The 20,661-nt window shown below is 36.1% G+C and overlaps 2 long non-coding RNA genes across 3 annotated transcripts in view; one reads left to right on the top strand and one right to left on the bottom strand.

The window, feature by feature from the left end:
• LINC01192 (long intergenic non-protein coding RNA 1192) overlaps positions 1-15,308 on the bottom strand; it is a 126,059-nt gene extending 110,751 nt beyond the window's left edge. Inside the window, exon 1 of the long non-coding RNA NR_033945.1 lies at positions 15,245-15,308. This is a non-coding gene — a long non-coding RNA (long intergenic non-protein coding RNA 1192). The remainder of the gene's footprint in view (positions 1-15,244) is intronic.
• Positions 15,309-16,197: 889 nt separating this feature from the next.
• The window catches only part of LOC105374188 (uncharacterized), a 76,972-nt gene continuing 72,508 nt past the window's right edge, over positions 16,198-20,661 (top strand). For both annotated transcript variants that reach the window (XR_924654.1, XR_924655.1), the window contains exon 1: positions 16,198-16,284. This is a non-coding gene — a long non-coding RNA (uncharacterized LOC105374188). The remainder of the gene's footprint in view (positions 16,285-20,661) is intronic.

Here is a 20,661-nt window from a genome sequence, read left to right on the forward strand (position 1 = left end):
ATTTAGCTTTCTAGTTTATGAAAATGACTAAGAGTTAAAATATTTTTAAGAAGAAATGGATTACATATTTAAATAACTATTAAGAAATTATTCATGTAGCATAGTTTAAGAAACAAAATAACAAACAAAAATGTGCAAGATCTGGCAGCATAATATGGTGTTCTATGTATATATGAAATCAATGTATGTAAGGTGAAATTGAATGCAATGAATGGACACAGCTACCCCAAATAATGGAAGCCCAGGAGTTTCCATTAAGGATATATTCAGAAGTATTTTAAATGAAAAGTATTTATTTAAAGAGACATATAGCTATTTATATTTGTTAGAATTCTATGTCAGTGGGTAGTAGGAATCAACTCAGAATTTTGCATTCAAGCATAAGAAACTTAGGGAATAAATACTTTCTCTTGATCCATGAAGAGTAGATTTCTCTCAAATTTACCTTCTAAAATAGAAATAATGCTAAGAAAAGCAAGGAATAAAGAACAATTTGGTTTAACTCCTTACCCATTATAAGTATAAACAGTTCCAACAGCACTTGAAAAGTGGCTAAAATATTTTCCTTCTATGTCTAATTGTTTTAGTTTAGCTTAGCTTTCTTGTTTGAAAAATTTTAAATTAATTTCCAACACACACCTGAAGGAATTTCCAGGTTCCACAGAATCAGTTAAAATACTTTTTCCTTTTAAAAAGAAATGAAACAAAAGGAAAACATTTTTTGTGATATCTATTCCCACAAAATAATCCAAACAATTTACTATCTTGATGTATGAGATGTGACTATAATAAAGAGCAATTTTCATACCACTATGGACAACAACCCCATCACAGTCAAAGGGATGTTTTACAATGACACTACTGTTAACATTTCAAAAGAGATTAAAGAGCATTGATAAATAATAACTGCTCCTTTGAATATACCAACCATATTCCATCTGAGAGTTACCAACTAGCAAACAGTAATCTTCACACAAATGTTTATATAGCAAAGATTAAACACGATATTCTCTGGGCTCACTGACATGCATATCTCAGTGTGATATAAAGCCTCAACAAAGATTTTTCTGTATAAAATGAATAGACAGTTTTTCTTAGAAGTTTTAGATTACATGAAAGCAGAATAACACAATGGTGCTTACAGCAGGACTCAACAAAGTGATAGTCCCTGCTCAGGATTGGACAGAGATAAATGATCTTCAACTGTAAGAGTAAAATATTCCATTTTTCTCATGGATGTGCTGTATGTATTTACAATTAAAATCACAATAATAGAAACACTGAAATTTTACAAAAGTAAATATATATATATAGCTTACACAAATTATAAGCACTATCATTATTTAAGAATTAAAAAAATACTAAGTGCAGTCTAAGTTTCATGTGTGTTTTAGTTTTTCTTAACGATTCCAGTGGTATGAATGAATATATATATATATATATATATATATATATATATATATATGCTTTGAAAATTGATTTTCAAATACAAAATGGTTTGTTAAGATCCTATCCCTTGATCACATAAATATAAACAAAAATAGGTTCATTTACAATATTCATATGTTAAATTACACATCTTAATTGGTAGGAAATAGTCTTTCCTTAGGGAATTATTCTACATAATATTCCTAATTTTTCCAGAATGACTAAACTCAGAAGTTCAAGACATTTACTAAGCATGAGAATAAACAATATGATGAGGTTGTCTGACTACTTTCCAATTTACTTAGATTTTGAATGTATTTTATATATTTTATCTTTAGCAATATTTATATCATGTGTTATACTTCTCCCTCTACCAAGTAATCAATAACGAATTTCACTGGCTAATATTTTGTTATCTATAAAATATTCTGCAGAAATATGGTTCACCAAGAAAATTGTCAAAGGACTTCATTCAGTTCCCTCATTTTGAAAACACAATAATTTGTTAACAAACATGGCAAAGAATGTATAAATGTAAAATGTCATGTAAAGACCAAAGCAGTGACTGCAATATCTAATTGTCTCCAATGTTATATTTTCTAATTTTTTCAAGTATTTGCTTGTTAATAACACTTTCATCGAATGACTGTTATGAGTAAGAAAGACTGTTAAGGGTAGAGGACATCCTACTACATCTTGTGGGCTTAGCATATTGTGATTTATAAATGAAAGTAAATTTTGAGTTAAATGCAGTGCATACATTCCTCTAGTTCAATCTGTTAAGTAAAAGTTAACACTGACATATTTGCATACACTTTTGAATATGTATTTTTGAGTCACTAATATAAATAGGTACATGACCATATTGAACTCTTAATCAATGCAATATTTTGACTTAGATGAATGCAGAACTGTATGCATTTCATTCATAACTATTCCCAGTGCATTAACTCAAATTAGAACTCTATAATTATGTTAATAAAATTAGTACAGATTTAGTGTTAAAATATAATGAAAATAATAAAGAATCATAAGAAAATTATAAAAAAATTCTTTGTAACAGCACTACCTGAAGAAGAATAATAAGAAAAATTAGAAAATATCTTGAGACAAATGAAAACCAAAACACTGCAAACCCAAGTATGTGGGATGTAGCATAAACAATACTACAAGGGATGTATATAGTAATAAATGCCTACATGAAAAAAAAAAAGATCTCAAGTCAACAACCTACACTTACACCATAGGAAATAGAAAAAGAAGAATGAATTAGTCCATTTTCATACAGCTATAAAAAATACCCAAGACTGGGTAATTTTTAAAGAAAAAGAGGTTTAATGGACTCACGGTTCCACATGGCTGGGGAGTCTTCACAATCATGGTGGAAGGCAAAAGAGGAGCATGTCTTACATGGTGGCAGGTAAGACTGTGTGCAGGGGAACTGTCCCTTTATAAAACCATCAGATCTCCTGAAACTAATTCACAATCACAAGAACGGCACAGGAAAAACCCAGCCTCATGATTCAATTACCTCCAACTGGGTCCCTCTCATGACACACGGGGATTATGGGAGCTACAATTCAAGATGAAATTTGGGTTGGCACACAACCACACCATATCATTCCACTCCTGACCCCCTCAAAATCTCATGTCTTTATATTTTGAAACCATTTATGCCTTCCCAACAGTCCCCTAAAGTCTTATTTCAGCATTAACTCAAAAGTCCGCAGTCCAAAGTCACATCTGAGACAAGGCAAGTACCTTCCACCTAGAAGCCTGTAAAATCAAAAGCAAGTTAGTTACTTCCTAAATACAATGGGGGTACAGGCATTAGGTAAATACACCAATTCCAAATGGGAAAAATTGGCCAAAACAAAGGGGTTACAGGACCCATGGGAGTCAGAAATTCAATGGGGCAGTCAAGTCTTAAAGCTCTAAAATGATCTCCTTTGACTCCATGTCTCATTTCTAGGCCAGGTCAATGCAAGAGTTGGGCTCCCATGGCCTTGGGCAGGTCTACTGCTGTGGCATTGCAGGCTACAGCCCCCCTCCCAAATGCTTTCATGGGCTGTCAATAAGTGTCTGTGGCTTTTCCAGGCACATAGTGCAAGCTGTCAGTGGATCTACCATTTTGGGGCCTGGAGGACACTGGCTCTCGTCTCACAGCTCCACTAGGCAGCACCCTAGTTAGGACTCTGTGTGGAGGCTCAAACCCCACATTTCCATTCCACACTTCTCTAGCAGAGGTTCTCCATGAGGGCCCTACCCCTGCAGCAAACTTCTGCATAGACATCTAGGTGTTTTCATACATCCTCTGAAATCTAGGCTGAGGTTCCCAAATCTCAATTATTGACTTCTGTGAACCCACAGGCTCAACACCACATGGAAGCTGCCAAGGCATGGGGCTTGCACCCTCTGAAGCCATAGCTCAAGCTATACTTTGGACTCTTTTAGCCATATCTGTAACAGCTGGGATGCAGGTCACCAAGTCCCTAGGCTGCACACAGAAGGTAGGCCATGGGCCCATCCATGAAGACTTATTTCTCCTAGGCATTGGGCCTGTGACTGCAGGGGCTGCTGCTAAGGTGTCTGACATACCCTGAAGACATTTTCCTCATTGTCTCGACAATTAACATTTGGCTTTTTGTTACTTATTCATTTCTGCAGCTGGCTTCAATTTCTCCCCAGAAAATAGATTTTTCTTTTCTACTGCATCATCAGGCTGTAAATTTTTCAAACTTTTATGCTGTACTTGGTCTTGAACACTTTGTCAGTTAGAAATTTTTTCCACCAGATAACCTGAATCATCTTTCTCAAGTTCAAAGTCCCACAAATCTCTAGGACAGGGGAAAAATGCTACAAGTCTCTATATAGTATGAGTGACTTTTATTCCAGCCTCCAGTAAGTTCCTCATCTCCATCTGAGACCACTTAGCCTGGACATCATTGTCCATATCACCGTCAGAAATTTGGTCAAAGCCATTCAACAAGCCTCTAGGAAGTTCCAAACTTTCATACATCTTCCTGTCTTCTGAGCACTCCAAGTATCTAGGAAGTTCCAAACTTTTCCACACTCTTCTGTCTTCTTTGGAGCCCTCCAAACTGTTCCAACCTCTGCCTGCTACCCAGTTCCAAAGTCACTTCCACATTTTCTGGTATCTTCAGAGCAGTGTCCTACTCTATTTGATACCAATTTTCTTTGTTAGACCATTTCCATATGGCTTTAAAGAAATACCTGACTGGGTAATTTATAAAGAAAAAGATCTTTAATGAACTCACAGTTCCACATGGCTAGAGAGGCCTCAGACTCATGGTGGAAGGTGAAAGAGCAAAGACAAATCTTACACGGCAGCAGGCAAGAGTGCGTGTTCAGGGGAACTGACCTTTATAAAACCGTATCTCCTGAGATTTATTCACTATCACAAGAACAGCATGGGGAAAACCTGCCCCCATGATTCAATTATCTCCCACCAGGTCCCTCCTACAACATGTGGGGAATATGGGAGCTACAATTGAAGATGAGATTCGGGGTTGTGGGGGAACACAGCCAAATCATATTAAAGAACAAACTAAGCCCAAATTTAGTTGAATAATAGAAATATAATAATTAGGGTTGAAATAAATTTTTAAAATAGACAAACAATAGAAAAAATTGGTGACACTAAGATATGTTTTTTTGAAAAATTAATGAAAATGGCAAACATTAAGTTAATGAGAGGAGAGTTAAATAAAGAAAACAGAAATAAAAAGGGATCCAACTACTAAGAGCAACCATATGCCAACAAATTGGACAACGTAGGAGACAGTAATAAGTTCCTAGAAACATACAATCAACAAAAACTGAATCATGAAGAATTAGAAAATCTGAAGAAACCAATAACTATTAAGTAGATTGAATCAGTAAGCCAAACTTCCCAACAAAGGACCCAGGACCAGATGTCCTCATAGCTGAATGCTACCACATTTTAAGAAGAATCAAAAGTAATCATTCTCAAATTTTTCCAATATCAAAGAGGAGGACACACTTCCAAACTTATTTTATAATGTTCATATAACACTGGTAGTAAAGCCAGTGACACTACAAGAATGAAAACTGTAGGCCAACATTTCAGATAAACACAAATGCAAAAATCCTGATCAAAATACTAGCCAACCAAATTCAATAGAGATGAAAAGGAACATGCACCATGACCAAGCAGGATTTATCCCTAGGATGCAAGGATTGTTCAACATACAGAAATCAATCAATATGTTAGACCACATTAACAGAGTGAAGGATAAAAATCACATGATCCTCTCAATAGATGCAGAAAATATATTTAACAAAATGTTAACACTCTTTCATAACAGAAATATGAGGCAAAGTAGAAATATAAGGAATATATTTCAACATAATAAAAGTCATATATGACAAACCCACAAATAATATTACTTGGAATATTAAAAAACAAAGTTTTTCCCTAAGATCAAGAAGAAAACTAGGATGCCCACTCTCACCACTCTATTCAACATAGTACTTGAAGTCCTAGCCAGAGAAATTAAATACGGGAAAAAAAAATACATCTAAATCAAAAAGGAAAAAATTATCTCCTTTGTTTGCAGATAACATAGATTTGTATGTAAGAAACCCTAAAGACACTGCCAATAAACTGTTGGAACTAATAAACAAATAAAATAAAGTTGTACTATACAAAATCAAATACAGAAATCAGTTTCATTTTAATACACTAACACTGAACTATCCAAAAACAGAATTAAGAAAAAAAATCGCATTTATAATAGCATGGAAAAGAATAAAATACTTAGAAATAAACTCGAGAAAGACAGTGAAAGACTTGTACTCTGAAAGCTACAAAACACTGTTGAATAAAAAAAAAAAACACAAATGAATAAAAGACATCCTGGCATTATGAACTGTATTACTTAATATTGTTAAAAAGTTAAAACGTTGTCTACAATGTTAGTGCTATCTCTATCAAAATACAATTATATTATATATATATAATATGTGTGTGTGTATATATATATATATATATATATATATATATATACATAATTCTAAATTTCAAATGGAAACAAAAGCAAAACTCCAAAATAGCCCAAGCAATATTAAGAAATAAAAACAAAGCTGGAGGTTCACGTTTTCTGATTTCAAAATAGAATACAAAGCTATAGTACATAAAACAATATGGTACTGGCATAAAGATAAGACTAATAAGAAAGAATAGACAGCCCACAAATAAACCTACTTATATACGGTAAATTAATTTTTGACAAGGGTGCCAATAACACACCGTGGGGAAAGAATAATCTCTTAAACAAGCCCAGTTGGGAAAACTGGCTACCACCTGCAAAAGAATAAAATTGGACCTTATCTCACACCATTTACAGAAATCAACTCAATTTATCAAAGACTTAAATGAAAGATTTTTGAAACAGTAAAACTCCTAGAAGAATACTTAGAGGGAAAAACTTCATGACATTTTTCTTGGCAATCAACAGCACCGGCTGCATAAGCAGAAATAGGCAAGAAAGACTACATCAAACTAAAAAGCTTCTACACAGCAAAGAAGAAAATCAGAGTAAAAAGGCAAGCTACTGAACTAGAAAAATATATTTACATACCATATACCTGATAAGAGATTAATAGCCAAAATATATAAGGAACACCTATGATTCAAAAGCAGAAAAAAATAAAAATAGGCAAAGGACTCGAGTAGACATTTCTCCAAAGAAGACATACAAATAGCCAACAGGTATGTAAAATAATGCTCAACATCACTGATAATCAGGGAAATACAATCAAAATCACAATGAAATATTACCTCACACTCGTTAAGATGGCTATGACAAAAAAACATGAAAGTAATCAAGTTTTGGCAAGGACTTGCAGAAATTGGAAGCATTTTACATTGTTGATGAGAATGTAAAGTGGTGTGACTGCTATGAGAAAGAGTTTCTAAAAAGATTAAAATAGGACTATCATACGATAAAGCAATCTCAATTATAAGTTTTTATCCAAATAAATTGAAATCAGAATATCATATTAATATCTGTACTTCCATGATCATGCAGCACTATTCACACTAGCCAAGATATGGAAAAACACCTAAGTGTCCATTGACAGATAAATGGATAAAAGAAAATTATATATATATATACACACACACAATATTCCATATATATATATACATATATAATATTCAGAACTAAAAAAGAAGAAAATCCTACTACAGGGATGAACTTTGAGTTCGTTATCCTAAGTGAAATAAGCCAATCACAGCAAGAAAAATAGGCATTATTCCACCCATATAATGTATCTAAAATAGTCCAATGCATAGAAACAATTGGTCATCAGGAGCTAAGGGGATAGAGAAATAAGGAGTTGTAGTTCAATCTTTGCTGTACATTATTCTTCTTATAGTTAACAATGCTGTGCTGTATGCTTAAACATTTGTTAAGACAGTATATCTCATGTCCAGTAATCTTACCACAATTAAAAAAAATAATTTCAGTGGAAAATAATAGAATCTTAAGAAAGAATGTATTAATTGTACTTTTTGGGGTTACAATCATTGAGCTCAACTTGTGTTGTGAGTACCTGAAGCTAATATATATTGAGATTTTTATTTATTTATTTTGAAAAGTTTGCAGACTTTTTCTGAAACTGCTCTGCTTCAGAAAACAATGATGCTGGATGTGACATAATTAAATGATAAATCGTCTAAATACCTATGACTGTAGTGCACAAACATGTGAGTATTTGTGAAAGAATTTAGAGAATAATAGCTAAAATCATAAAGAAATGGCAATACATAAAATATTTTTAAAGAACACCTCATGTAGTGGTAAAAATTAATAATTATAATTGTGCTTAAGTTGAAATTCTATAGTAATTGAGAATGTATGCCATGAGTGGTGGAACAAAAAAACTATACAAAAGTGATACAATTCATGTTCTAGGATAGATATTTTCAGTAATCAGATATAATGTTTGTACAAATTTGTTTTGAGTTCTAGTTAACATATCTTTGAAGATGGCCAAATAGAGCTCTGGTCTGCTGCTCCCAGCAAGATCAACACAGAAGATAGGTGATTTCTACTTTTCCAGCTGAGGTACTCAACTCATCTTATTGGGACTGGTTAGACAGTGGGTGCACCCCATGGGGACAAGCCAAAGCAAGGTGGGACATCACCTCACCTGAGAAGTGCAAGGGGTTGAGGAACTCCCTTCCCTAGCCAAGAGAAGCCATGAGGGACTATGCTGTGAGGCATGGTACATTCCAGCCCAGATACTACACTTTTCCCATGGTCTTCACAACCTGCAGACCATGAGATTCCCTCAGGTGCCTACACCATCAGGGCCCTGGGTTTCAAGCACAAAACTGGGCAGCTGATAAGGCAGACACCGAGCTAGCTGCAGGTTTCTTTTTTTGTTTTTTTTTTGTTTTTTTTTTTTTCATACCACAGTGGTACCTGGAATGCCAGCAAGACAGAACCATTCACTCCCCTGAAAAGGGTGTAAAGCCAGAGAGCTAAGTGGTCTAGCTCAGTGGATCCCACCCCCACGTAGCCCAGCAAGCTAAGATCTCCTGGCTAGAAATTGTCGCTGCCAGCACAGCTGTCTGAAGTAGACCTGGGATGCTTGAGCTAGGCAGGGGGAGGGATGAATGCCATTACTAAGGCTTGAGCAGGAGGTTTTTCCCTCACACTGTAAACAAAGCCACTGGGAAGTTTGAACTGTGGGGATCCCACCACAGCTCAGCAAAGACACGTAGCCAGACTGCCTCTCTAGATTCCTCCTCTCTTGGAAAGGCATCTGTGAAAGAAAAGCAGCAGCCCCAGTCATGGGTTTATAGATAAAACTCCCAACTCCCTGAGAAAGAGCTGCTGGGGGAAGGGGCGGCCATGGGTGCAACTTCAGCAGATGTAAACGTTCCTGCCTGCTGGCTCTGAAGAAAGCAGCAGATCTCCCAGCACAGTGCTTGACCTCTGCTAAGGGACAGACTTCCTCCTCAAGTGGGTCCCTGATCCCGTGCCTCCAGACTGAAAGACACCCCACAGCAGGGGTCAACAAATAACTTAGAAAGGAGAGCTCCAGCTGGCATCTGGCATGTGCCCCTCTGGGACAAAGCTTCCAGAGGAAGAAGCAGGCAGCAATCGTTGCTGTTCTGCAGCCTCCGCTGGTGATACCCACGCAAACAGGGTCTGGAGTGGACCTCAAGCAAATCCAGCAGACCTGCAGCAGACGGGCCTGGCTTTTAGAAGGAAAACTAACAAAAGGAAAGCAATATCATCGACGTCAATGAAAAGGACCTTCACACAAAAACCCCATCCTGAGGTCAGCAACATCAAAGACCAAAGGTAGATAAAACCATGAATGAAGAAAAACTACCACAAAAAGGCTGAAAATTCCAAAAACCAGAATGCCTCTTTTCCAAAGGGTCACAACTCCTTGTCAGCAAGGGAACAAAACTGGATGGAGAATGAGTTTGACGGATTGACAGAAGTAGGCTTCAGAACGTGGGTAATAACAAACTACTCCGAGCTAAAGGAGCATATACTAACCCAATGCAAGGAAACTAAGAACCTTGAAAAAAGGTTAGAGGAATTGCTAGCTAAAATAACCAGCTTTGAAAGGAACATAAATGACCTGAAGGAGCTGAAAAACTCAGCATGAGAACTTTGTGAAGCACACACAAGTATCAACGCCAAATCAATCAAGCAGAAGAAAGAATATTAGATATTAAAGATCAACTTAATGAAATAAAGCATAAAGACAAGATTAGAAAAAAAAATGAAAGGAAAGAAAAAAGCCTCCAAGAAATATGGGACTATGTGAAAAGACCAAACTTATGTTTGATTGGTGTACCTGAAAGTGACAGGGAGAACGGAATCAAGTTGGAAAACACTCTTCAGGATATTATCCAGGAGAACTTCCCCAAACTAGCAAGACAGGCCAACATTCAAATTCAGCAAATGCAGAGAACACCACAAAGGTACTCATCAAGAAGAGCAACCCCAAGACACATAATGGTCAGATTCACCAAGGTTGAAATGAAGGAAAAAATGTTAAGGGCAGTCAGAGAGAAAGGTTGGGTTACCAACAAAGGGAAGCCCGTCAGACTAACAGCAGATTTCTCTGCAGAAACCCTACCAGCTAGAAGAGAGTAGGGGTCAATATGGAACTAAATATAGAAAGAAAAAATGGGTACCAGACACTGAATAACCATACCAAATTGTAAAGACCATTGACACTATGAAGAAACTGAATCAACTAATGGGCAAAATAACCTTAAATGTAAATGATCTAAATGCCACAATTAAAAGGCACAGACTGGAAAACTGGATAGAGTCAAGACCCATCGGTGTGTTGAATTCAGAAGACTCATCTCACATGCAAAGGCACACATAGCCTCAACATAAAGTGAGGGAGGAACATTTACCAAGCAAATGGAAAGCTAAAAAAAAAAAAAAAAAGGGGGGGGGCATTGCAATCCTAAACTCTGATAAAACGGATTTTAAATCAACAAAGATCAAAAAAGAAAAGAAGGGCATTACGTAATGGTAAAGGGATCAATGCAACAAGAAGAGCTAACTATCCTAAATATATATGCACCCAACAGAGGAGCACCTAGATTCATAAAGCAAGTTCTTAGAGACCTACAAAGAGACTTAGACTCCCACACAATAATAGTAGGAGACTTTAACACCCCACTGTTAATATTAGACAGATTAACAAGACAGAAAATTAACAAGGATATTCAGGACTTGAACTCAGCTCTGGACTAAGCAGACCTAATAAACATCTACAAAATTAACCACCCCAAATCAACAGAATAGACATTCATCTCAGCACTACATCACACTAAATCTAAAATTGACTACATAGTGGGAAGTAAAACACTCCTCAGCAAATTCAAAAGAACAAAAATTATAACAAAAGTCTCTCAGACCACAGTGCAATCACAAATTAGGACTCAGGACTTAGAAACTCACTGAAAAATGAAAAGTACATGGAAACTGAACAAATTGCTTCTGAATGTCTGCTGGGTAAATAACAAAAGTAAAGCAGAAATAAGTTATGTGAAATCAATGAGAACAAAAACACAATGTACAAAATTCTCTGGGACACTGCAATTTATAGCACTAAATGCCCATAGGAGAAAGCAGGAGTGATCTAAAATCAACACCCTAATATCACAATTAAATGAACTAGAGAAGCAATAGCAAACAAATTCAAAAGCTAGCAGAAGACAAGAAATAACTAAGATCAGAGTAGAACTGAAGGAGATAGAGACACAAAAATCCCTTCAAAAAATCAATGAATCTGGAAGCTGTTTTTTTGAGAAGATTAACAAAATACATAGACTGCTAGCTAGAATAATAAAGAAGAAAAAAGAGAAGAATCAAATAGACACAATAAAAAATGATAACGGGGATATCACCACAGATCCCACAGAAATACAAACTATCATCAGAGAATACTATAAAGAGCTCTAAACAAAGAAACAAGAAAATATGGAAGAAATTGATAAATTCCTGGACACATACACCCTTCCAAGACTAAGCCAGGAAGAAGTCAAATCCCTGAAGAGACCAATATCAAGTTCTGAAACTGAGGCAGTAATTAATAGCCTACCAACCAAAAGAATCCCAGGACCAGATGTATTCACAGCTGAATGCTACCAGAGGTACAAAGAGAAGCTGGTACCATTTCTCCTGAAAATATTCCAAACAATAGATAAAGAGCAACTCCTCCCTAACTCATTTTATGAGGTCAGCATCATCCTGATACCAAAACCTGGCAGAGACACAACAACAACAAAAATTTCAGACCAATATCCCTGATAAATGTCGATGCAAAATCCTCAATAAAATACTGGCAAACTGAATTCAGCAGCACAATAAAAAGGTTATCCACCACGATCAAGAAACTTCATCCCTGGGATGCAAGGCTTGTTCAACATATGCTTATCAATAAACGTAATCCATCTCATAAAAAGAACCAATGACAAAAACCATATGATTATCTCTCAGAAGATGCAGAAAAGGCCTTCAATAAAAATTCAACACCCCTTCATGCTAAAAACACTCAATAAACTAGGTATTGATGGAACATATCTCAAAATATTAAGAGCTATTTATGACAAACCCACAGCCAATATCATACCAAATGGGTCAAAGCTGGAAGCATTCCCTTTGAAAACCAGTACAGGACAACAATGCCCTCTCTCACCACTCTTATTCAACATAGTATTAGAAGTTCTGGCCAGGGCAATTAGGCAAGAGAACGAAAGACAGCGTATTCAAATAGGAAGAGAGGAAGTCAAATTGTCTCTGTTTGCAGATGATATGATTGTATATTTTAAAAAACCCCATCGTCTCATCTCAAAATCTCCTTAAGCTGATAAGCAATTTCAGCAAAGTCTCAGGATACAAAATTAATGTGCAAAAATCACAAGCATTTCTATACACAAATGATGGGCAAACAGAGAGCCAAGTCATGAGTGAACTCCCATTCAGAATTGCTACACAGAGAATAAAATACCTAGGAATACAACTTACAAGGGATGTGAAGGATCTCTTCAAGGAGAACTACAAACCACAGCTCAAGGAAATAAAAGAGGACACAAACAAATGTAAAACATTCCATGCTCATGGATAGGAAGAATCAATATCATGAAAATGGCCACACTGCTCAAAGTAATTTATATATTCAATGCGATCCCTATTAAGCTACCATTGACTTTGTCCACAGAATTAGAAAAAAACTACTTTAAATTTTACATGGAACCAAAAAAGAGCCTGTATAACTGAGACAATCTTAATCAAAAAGAACAAAGCTGAAGTCAGCATGCTACCTGACTTCAGACTATACTATAAGGCTACAGTAACCAAAACAGCATGATACCAGTACCAAAACAGACATATAGACCAATGGTATAGAACAAAGCCTCAGAAATAACACCACACATTTACAGCCATTTGATCCTTGACAAACCTGACAAAAACAAGCAATGGGGAAAGGATTCCCTATTTAATAAACGGTGTTGAAAAAACTGGCTAGCCATATGCAGAAAACTGAAACTGGACCACTTCCTTACACCTTATACAAAAATTAACTCAAGATGGATTAAAGACTTACATCTTTGACCTAAAACCATAAAAACCCTAAAAGAAAACCTAGGCAATACTATTCAGGACACAGGCATAGGCAAAGAATTCATAACTAAAACACCAAAAGCAATGTCAACAAAAGCCAAGATTGACAAATGGGAGCTAATTAAACTAAAAGCTTCTGCACTCCAAAAGAAACTATCATCAGTGTGAGCAGGCAACCTACAGAATGGGAGAATACTTTTTCAGTCTATCCATCTGACAAAAGGCTAATATCCAGAATCTACCAGGAAGTTAAACAAATTTACAAGAAAAAAGCAAACAATCCCATCAAAAAGTGGGCAAAAGATATGAACAAACACTCCTCAAAAGAAGACATGTATGCGGCCAAAAAATATATGAAAAAAAGCTCATCATCATTGGTCATTAGAGAAATGCAAATCAAAACCACAATGAGATACCATCTCACACCAGTTAGAATGGCGATTATTCAAAAGTCAGGAAACAACAGATGCTGGAGAGAACATGAAGAAACAGGAACACTTTTACAATGTTGGTGGGAGTGTAAATTAATTCAACTATTGTGGAAAACTGTGGCAATTCCTCAAGGATCTAGAATCAGAAATACCATTTGACTCAGCAATCCCATTAATGGGTATACACCCAAAGGATTATAAACCATTCTACTATAAAGACACATGCACACGTATGTTTATTGCAGCACTGTTCACAATAGCAAAGACTTGGAACAAACCCAAATGCCCATCAATGACAGACTAGATAAAGAAAATGTGCTACATATACACCATGGAATAATAGGCGGCCATAAAAAGGAATGAGATCATGTATTTTGCAGCGACATGTCTGAAGGTAGACACCATCATCCTCAGCAAACTAACACAAGAACAGAAAACCAAACACCACGTGTTCTCAATCATAAGTGGGAGATGAACAGTGAGAACCATGGACACAGGGAGGGGAGCTTCACACAACGGAGCCTGTTGTGGGGTGGGAGGCTAGGGGAGGGATAACATTAGGAGAAATACCTAATGTAGATGACAGGTTGATGGGTGCAGCAAACCAGCATGGCACGTGTATACTTATGTAACAAACCTGCATGTTCTGAACATGTATCTCAGAACTTCAGTTATAATTTTAAAAAAAACTAAGTGAGAAGCACACTTTCATATGATATATTAAATTTGCATTATTTTATCCAGAATAAAATATCATACATATTTAAACTTTGAATGTAACACTGACTTGTACTATAAACACAGTACCTGGTTAAAGAACAGGCTTATTGAAGAACAATCAAAGGAGTATCTTTTTATTAAAGAAGTACTCCAGAATGCTTCCTAAACTTCTAATACATAATCAAATACTTACTCAACCTCTGAATTAAAGAGCAAATTTAACATGTTGAAACCTGAAACTCGTATTTCTTTCCTAACATTGTTGACATTATGTTCGTCCATCCAGTAACTCAGACAAGATCTTAGGGTCATTTAGGTATTTTTATCTCACATACCAGACATCTAATCCAAAAGTAGGGGCTGGATGCAGAGCAAGATGGCAGAATAGAAAGTTCCACTAATCAGCCTCCCATCAAGCACACCAAATTAATGACTATCTATGGAGAAAAAACAACTTACTAAAAGCCAAAAACTAGATGAGCACTCCCACTACCTCAGTACCTGGTTTGATCTTCATTGTTGAAAGAGGCACTGAAGAGATAGAAAACTCAGTCTTGAACCGCCGATGCCACCTCTTTCCCACTCCCAGCAACAGCAGCATGTTGCAGGGATCATCTCTGGTTGCTAGGCGAAGTAGAACACAGCAATTGTGAGGCTCTGAATTCAATGCTGTCCTGTTAAAGCGGAAACATAAACCAGACCAAACTCAACAGGTGCTTGCCCACAACGGGAGCATTTAAACCATCCCTAGTCAGAGAGCAATTGCTGATACAAGTGGTCCAGATTTGAGTGCTCAAACCTTGCCACGAAGGGTCAAAATAATCTCAGCCTCTAAGTAAACCTGAAATGCAGTCGAGGCCATAAGGACTGCAACATATAGTTGAATTCTAGGGCTGTACTAGGCCCATAGACAATGGACTGAGGGTCGGGGGACACGACATACTGAGACACCAGCTGTGGCAGCCAAGGGATTGCTGGCATCACCCATTCCCTAGACTCAAGCTGCACAACATAAGGCTCCAAAAGAGACCCCTGTCTTCTGCTTAGGGAGAGGAGAGGGAAAAGTGGAGAGGACTTTTTTATACATCTAGATAACAGCTCAGCCACAGCAAGACAGGGCAACAGTTGGAGTTGTGAGGCCCCCATTCCAGGCCCCATCTCCCAGATAACATTTCTAGATACACTCTGGGCCAGAAGGGATGCCATTGCCTTGAAGGAAAGGACCCAGACCTGCCAGCATTTATCACCTGCTATGTGAGGAGACCCAGGTATTCCCAGGTACTACATCAAGGGCCTTGGTGAGCCTCTGAGACTTTCTGACTTCAGGTTACCAGCTGTGGTGGTTATGGGGCAAAACTCCTTCTGATTGAGAGAAGCAGAAGGAAAAGTAAAAGGGAATTTTGCCTTGCACCTAAGTTACCAATACCACCATGGGGGGTAGAGTACAAAGGTGGCTTTGGGGTTCCTGGTTCCAGGACTTGACTCTTGGATGGCATTTCGTGACCTGCCCTGGACCAAAGAGGTGCCCACTACCCTGAAGGGTGAGTACCAGGCCAGGAAGGATTCACCACAAACTGACTTCGGAGACCTTGGGCCTTAAGAGGACATTGGTGGTAGTCTGGTACTAATCCCTGTGGCCAGAGTGGGTGTTGGCTATGAAGTGAGGTTCCTCTGTCTGTAGAAAGGGGAGAGAAGAATGGGAAGAACTGCATGTTGCAGTTTGAGTGCCAGCTCAGTCCCAACACAATAGAAAACCAGGGAGACTCTTAAGTTTTTCTATCCTAGGCCCTGAGTCCTGATGGTATTTCAGGGCCCACCCATGTCCTGCGGGACCTCATTGCCCCGAAGGGAAAAACATCAGCCTGGCTGGCTTTGGTACTTGCTGATTGTAGAGCCCCGGGACCTTGAGTGAACACAGGCAGTACCAGGGAGTGGTTACAGCAGGCCTTGGGTGAGACACAGAGCTATGTTGGCTTCATCTCTGACCCAGTGCAGTCATAGTGGTGATGGCTACAGAGGTGTTTATGTCACTCCACCTACAACTTTAAGTGACTCAGAACAAAGAGAGAGAGAGAGAGAAGGCGGGGGGGCGGGGAGCTCTTTATGGTTGAGAGAAGAAACAAGGGACTGTGCCTGGTAATCCAGAAAATGCTCCCAGACCTTATTCAAGATCATTAATATGGTACCTCTATGAGTCTGCAAAACCACAGTGTTACTGGGCTTTGGGTGCCCCCTAAAGCATAAACAGCTTAGATCACATCACGTAAAGCATTCCCAAGAAAAATAACTACAAATAAGCTTAGACAGTGAAGACTACAATAAATACCTAACTCTTCAATGGCCAGACATCAAAGAACATCTGCTACCCTCAACACCATTCAGGAAAACATGGTCTCAACATATAGGTCACTAAATAAGGTATAAGAGAACAATTCTGGAGCAACAAATATGTGACCTTTCAGACACAGAATTCAAAATAGCTGTGTTAAGGAAATAAAGAAATTCGAGATAACACAGAGAAGGAATTCAGAATTCTATCAGACAAAATTATCAAATATATTGAAATAATTAAAAGGAATCAAGCAGAAATTCTGGAGCTGAAAATGCAATTGCTATACTGAATAATCCATCAGAGTCCTGTAATAGCAGAATAGATCAAGCAGAAGAAAGAATGTGTGAACTCTAAGACAGGCTATTTGAAAATATACAGTCAGAGGAGACAAAAGAAAAAAAAACAATAAAACACACCTACAATATCTACAAAATAGACTAGAACAAGCAAATCTAAGAATTACTGGCTTTAAAGAGGAGGTAAATAAAAAGATAGGGATAGTAAGTTTATTCAAATGGATAATGACAGAGAACTTCCCAAAGCTAGAGAAATATATCAATATCCAAGTACAAGAAGATTATAAAACACCAAGCAGATTTAACCCCAACAAAAGTAACTCAAAGTATTTAATAATAAGACTCCCAAAGATCAATGATAAAAAAAAATCCTAAAAGCAGCGAAATAATACAAGCTGATAATATGAAATGGAGCTCTAATACATCTGGCAGCAGACTTTTCAGAGAAAACCTTACAGGCCAGGACAGAGTGGCATGACATATTCAAGGTGCTAAAGAAAAAATACTTTAACACCTGAATAGTATATCCAACAAAAATATCCTTCAAACATGAATAAGAAATAAAGACATTTCCAGACAAACAAAATCTGAGGGATTTCATAAATACCAGACCAAAACTCATTCTACAAAAAAAGTCCTAAAGTGAGTACTTCAATCAGAAAGAAACGAACATTAATGAAGAATAAATAATCACATAAAGGTTAAAAAACCTTATCCGTGACAGTAAGTATACATAAAAACACAGAATATTATAACATTGTAACTGTGGGGTATAAACTATGTTTATCCTAATTATAAAGAATAAACAATAAACAATGAATCAATTAAAAATAGTAACTACAATAATTTTTCAAGACATAGTATGAAAGATATAAATAGAAACAATAAAAAGTTAAAAAGTTGGAAACAGTTAAGAAGACTCTTCATAAGTTTCCTTTTTGATTCTTGCTTGTTTATGCAAATAGTGAAAAGTTTTTATCTGGTTAAAATAATGGGTTATAGGATAGTATTTGTAAGCCTCATGGTAACCTCAACCCAAAAAACATACAATGGATATGTAACACATAAAAAGCAAGAAACTAAATCATCTCACCAAGAAAATCATTTTCACTAGAGAAGATAGAAATGAAAAAAAGAAAGAGACCACAAAAGAAACAGAAAATAAAATGGCAGGAGTAAGTTCTTATCGATAATAACATTAAATGTAAATGAACTAAATTTTCCAATCAAAAGACATAGACCGGCTAAATGCATGAAAAAATGAGATCCATTGATCTGTTGTCCACAAGAAACACACTTCACCCATAAAGACACACATACATTAAAAATAAACAAATGAAAAAAAGATATTCCATGCCAATGGAAACCAAAAAAGCACAGACAACACAGAATTCAAGACAAAAACTATAAGAGACAATGAAGGTCACTATATAATGATAAAGGGGTCAATTCAGGAAGAAGATATTACAATTTTAAATATATATGCACCCAACATGGGACCACACAAATACAGGAAGTAAATATTATTAGTGCTAAAGAAAGAGATAGGCCCAAATACAATAATAGCTGAAAGCTTTAACACCCCATTTTCAGCAATGGGCAATCTTCCAAACAGAAAATAAACAAAAGAACATCAGACTTAATCTGCACTATAGACCAAATGGATCTAACAAATATTTACAGGAGAGTTCATCCAAGAGATACAAATACACAGTATTTTTCTCAGTGCATGGACCATTCTCAAGGATAGACCATATGTTAGGTTACCAAACAAGTATTAAACTACTCTACAAAATTGAAATAATATGCAGCATCATCCTTGACCATGATGAAATGAAACTAAAAATTAGTAACAATAAATATTTAGGAAACTACACAAATGCAAGGAAATTAAACCATATGCTTTTAAATTAGCAGTAGGTCAATAAAGAAATTAAGAAGCCGATAAAAAATTTATTGAAATAAATGATAATGAAAAAAATATCAAAACCTATGGGATAGAGCAAAAGCAGTATTCAGAGGGAAGTTTATAGTTACAAGTACCTACATCGAAAAAACAGAAGAGCTTCAAATAAACAATCCAACAACTCATCTTTAGAAATAGAAAAGCAAGAGCAAACTTAGTAGGAAAAAAATGATAAAGATTAGAGCAGAAATAAATAAAATTGAAATAAAAAATCCATAAAATCAAAAGATGTTTTTTGAAAATTTAAACAAAATTGACAAACCTTAAGCCAGACTAAGAAAGAAAGATTGAATATCTAAATAAATAAATCCCGAAATGAAAAGGCACACATTACAACTGATAGTGCAGAAATTCAAAGGCTCATTGGTGGCTACTATGAGCAACTATATGCCAATAAATTGGAAACTCTAGAAGAAATAAACGAATTCTTAGACACACACCATCTACCAAGATTGAACCAGGAAAAAATTAAAAACCTGAAAAAGCCAGTAACCAATAACAAATTCAAAGCTGTAATAAACCATCTTTCAATAAAGAAATTTCTGAGACCTACTGGCTTCACTGACGATTTCTAAAAAACACTTAAATAAGAATTGATATAAATCTTACTCAAATTATTACAAAAAATAAAGGAGGGAATATTTCCAAACTCATTCTCTGAGGCTAGTATTACTCTGACAGCAAAATCAGACAAAAACGTGTCAAAACAACAACAGCAATAACATTCATTACAGGCCAATATCTCCGATAAATACTGATGTGAATATCCTAAAACAAAACAAACAAACAAAAAACCTAGCAAATCAAATTCAACAATACATTTCAAAGATTATTAATCATGACCAAATGGTATTTATTTCTGGGATGCAAGGATGTTTCAATATTTGCAAATTAATCAACATGATACATCATATCAACAGAATGAAGAATAAAAATCATATTATAATTTCCATTGATGCTGGAAAAGCATTTGATAAAATTCAACATCTCTTCATGATAAAAAACCCTCATCAAACTGGGTATAGAAGGACATAATTCAAAATAATAAAAGCTGTATATGGCAGACCCACAGCTAGTATCATACTAAATAAGGAAAACTTGAAAACCTTCCTTCTAAGACATGGAAGTTAATGAGGATGTCCAATGTCACCACTGTTGTTCAGCATAACTCTGGAAATTCTAGATAGAGCAACCAGACAAGATAAAGATTCAAAGGGCATCTAAATTTGACAAAAAAATGTCAAATTGTCATTGTTTGTAGATGATACGATTTTATATTTGAGAAAACGTAAAGATTTCACAAGGTAACTACTAAAAGTGGTAA

The sequence above is a fragment of the Homo sapiens genome, chromosome 3, assembly GCF_000001405.40.
Source record: "Homo sapiens chromosome 3, GRCh38.p14 Primary Assembly".
Classification (NCBI taxonomy): domain Eukaryota; kingdom Metazoa; phylum Chordata; class Mammalia; order Primates; family Hominidae; genus Homo; species Homo sapiens.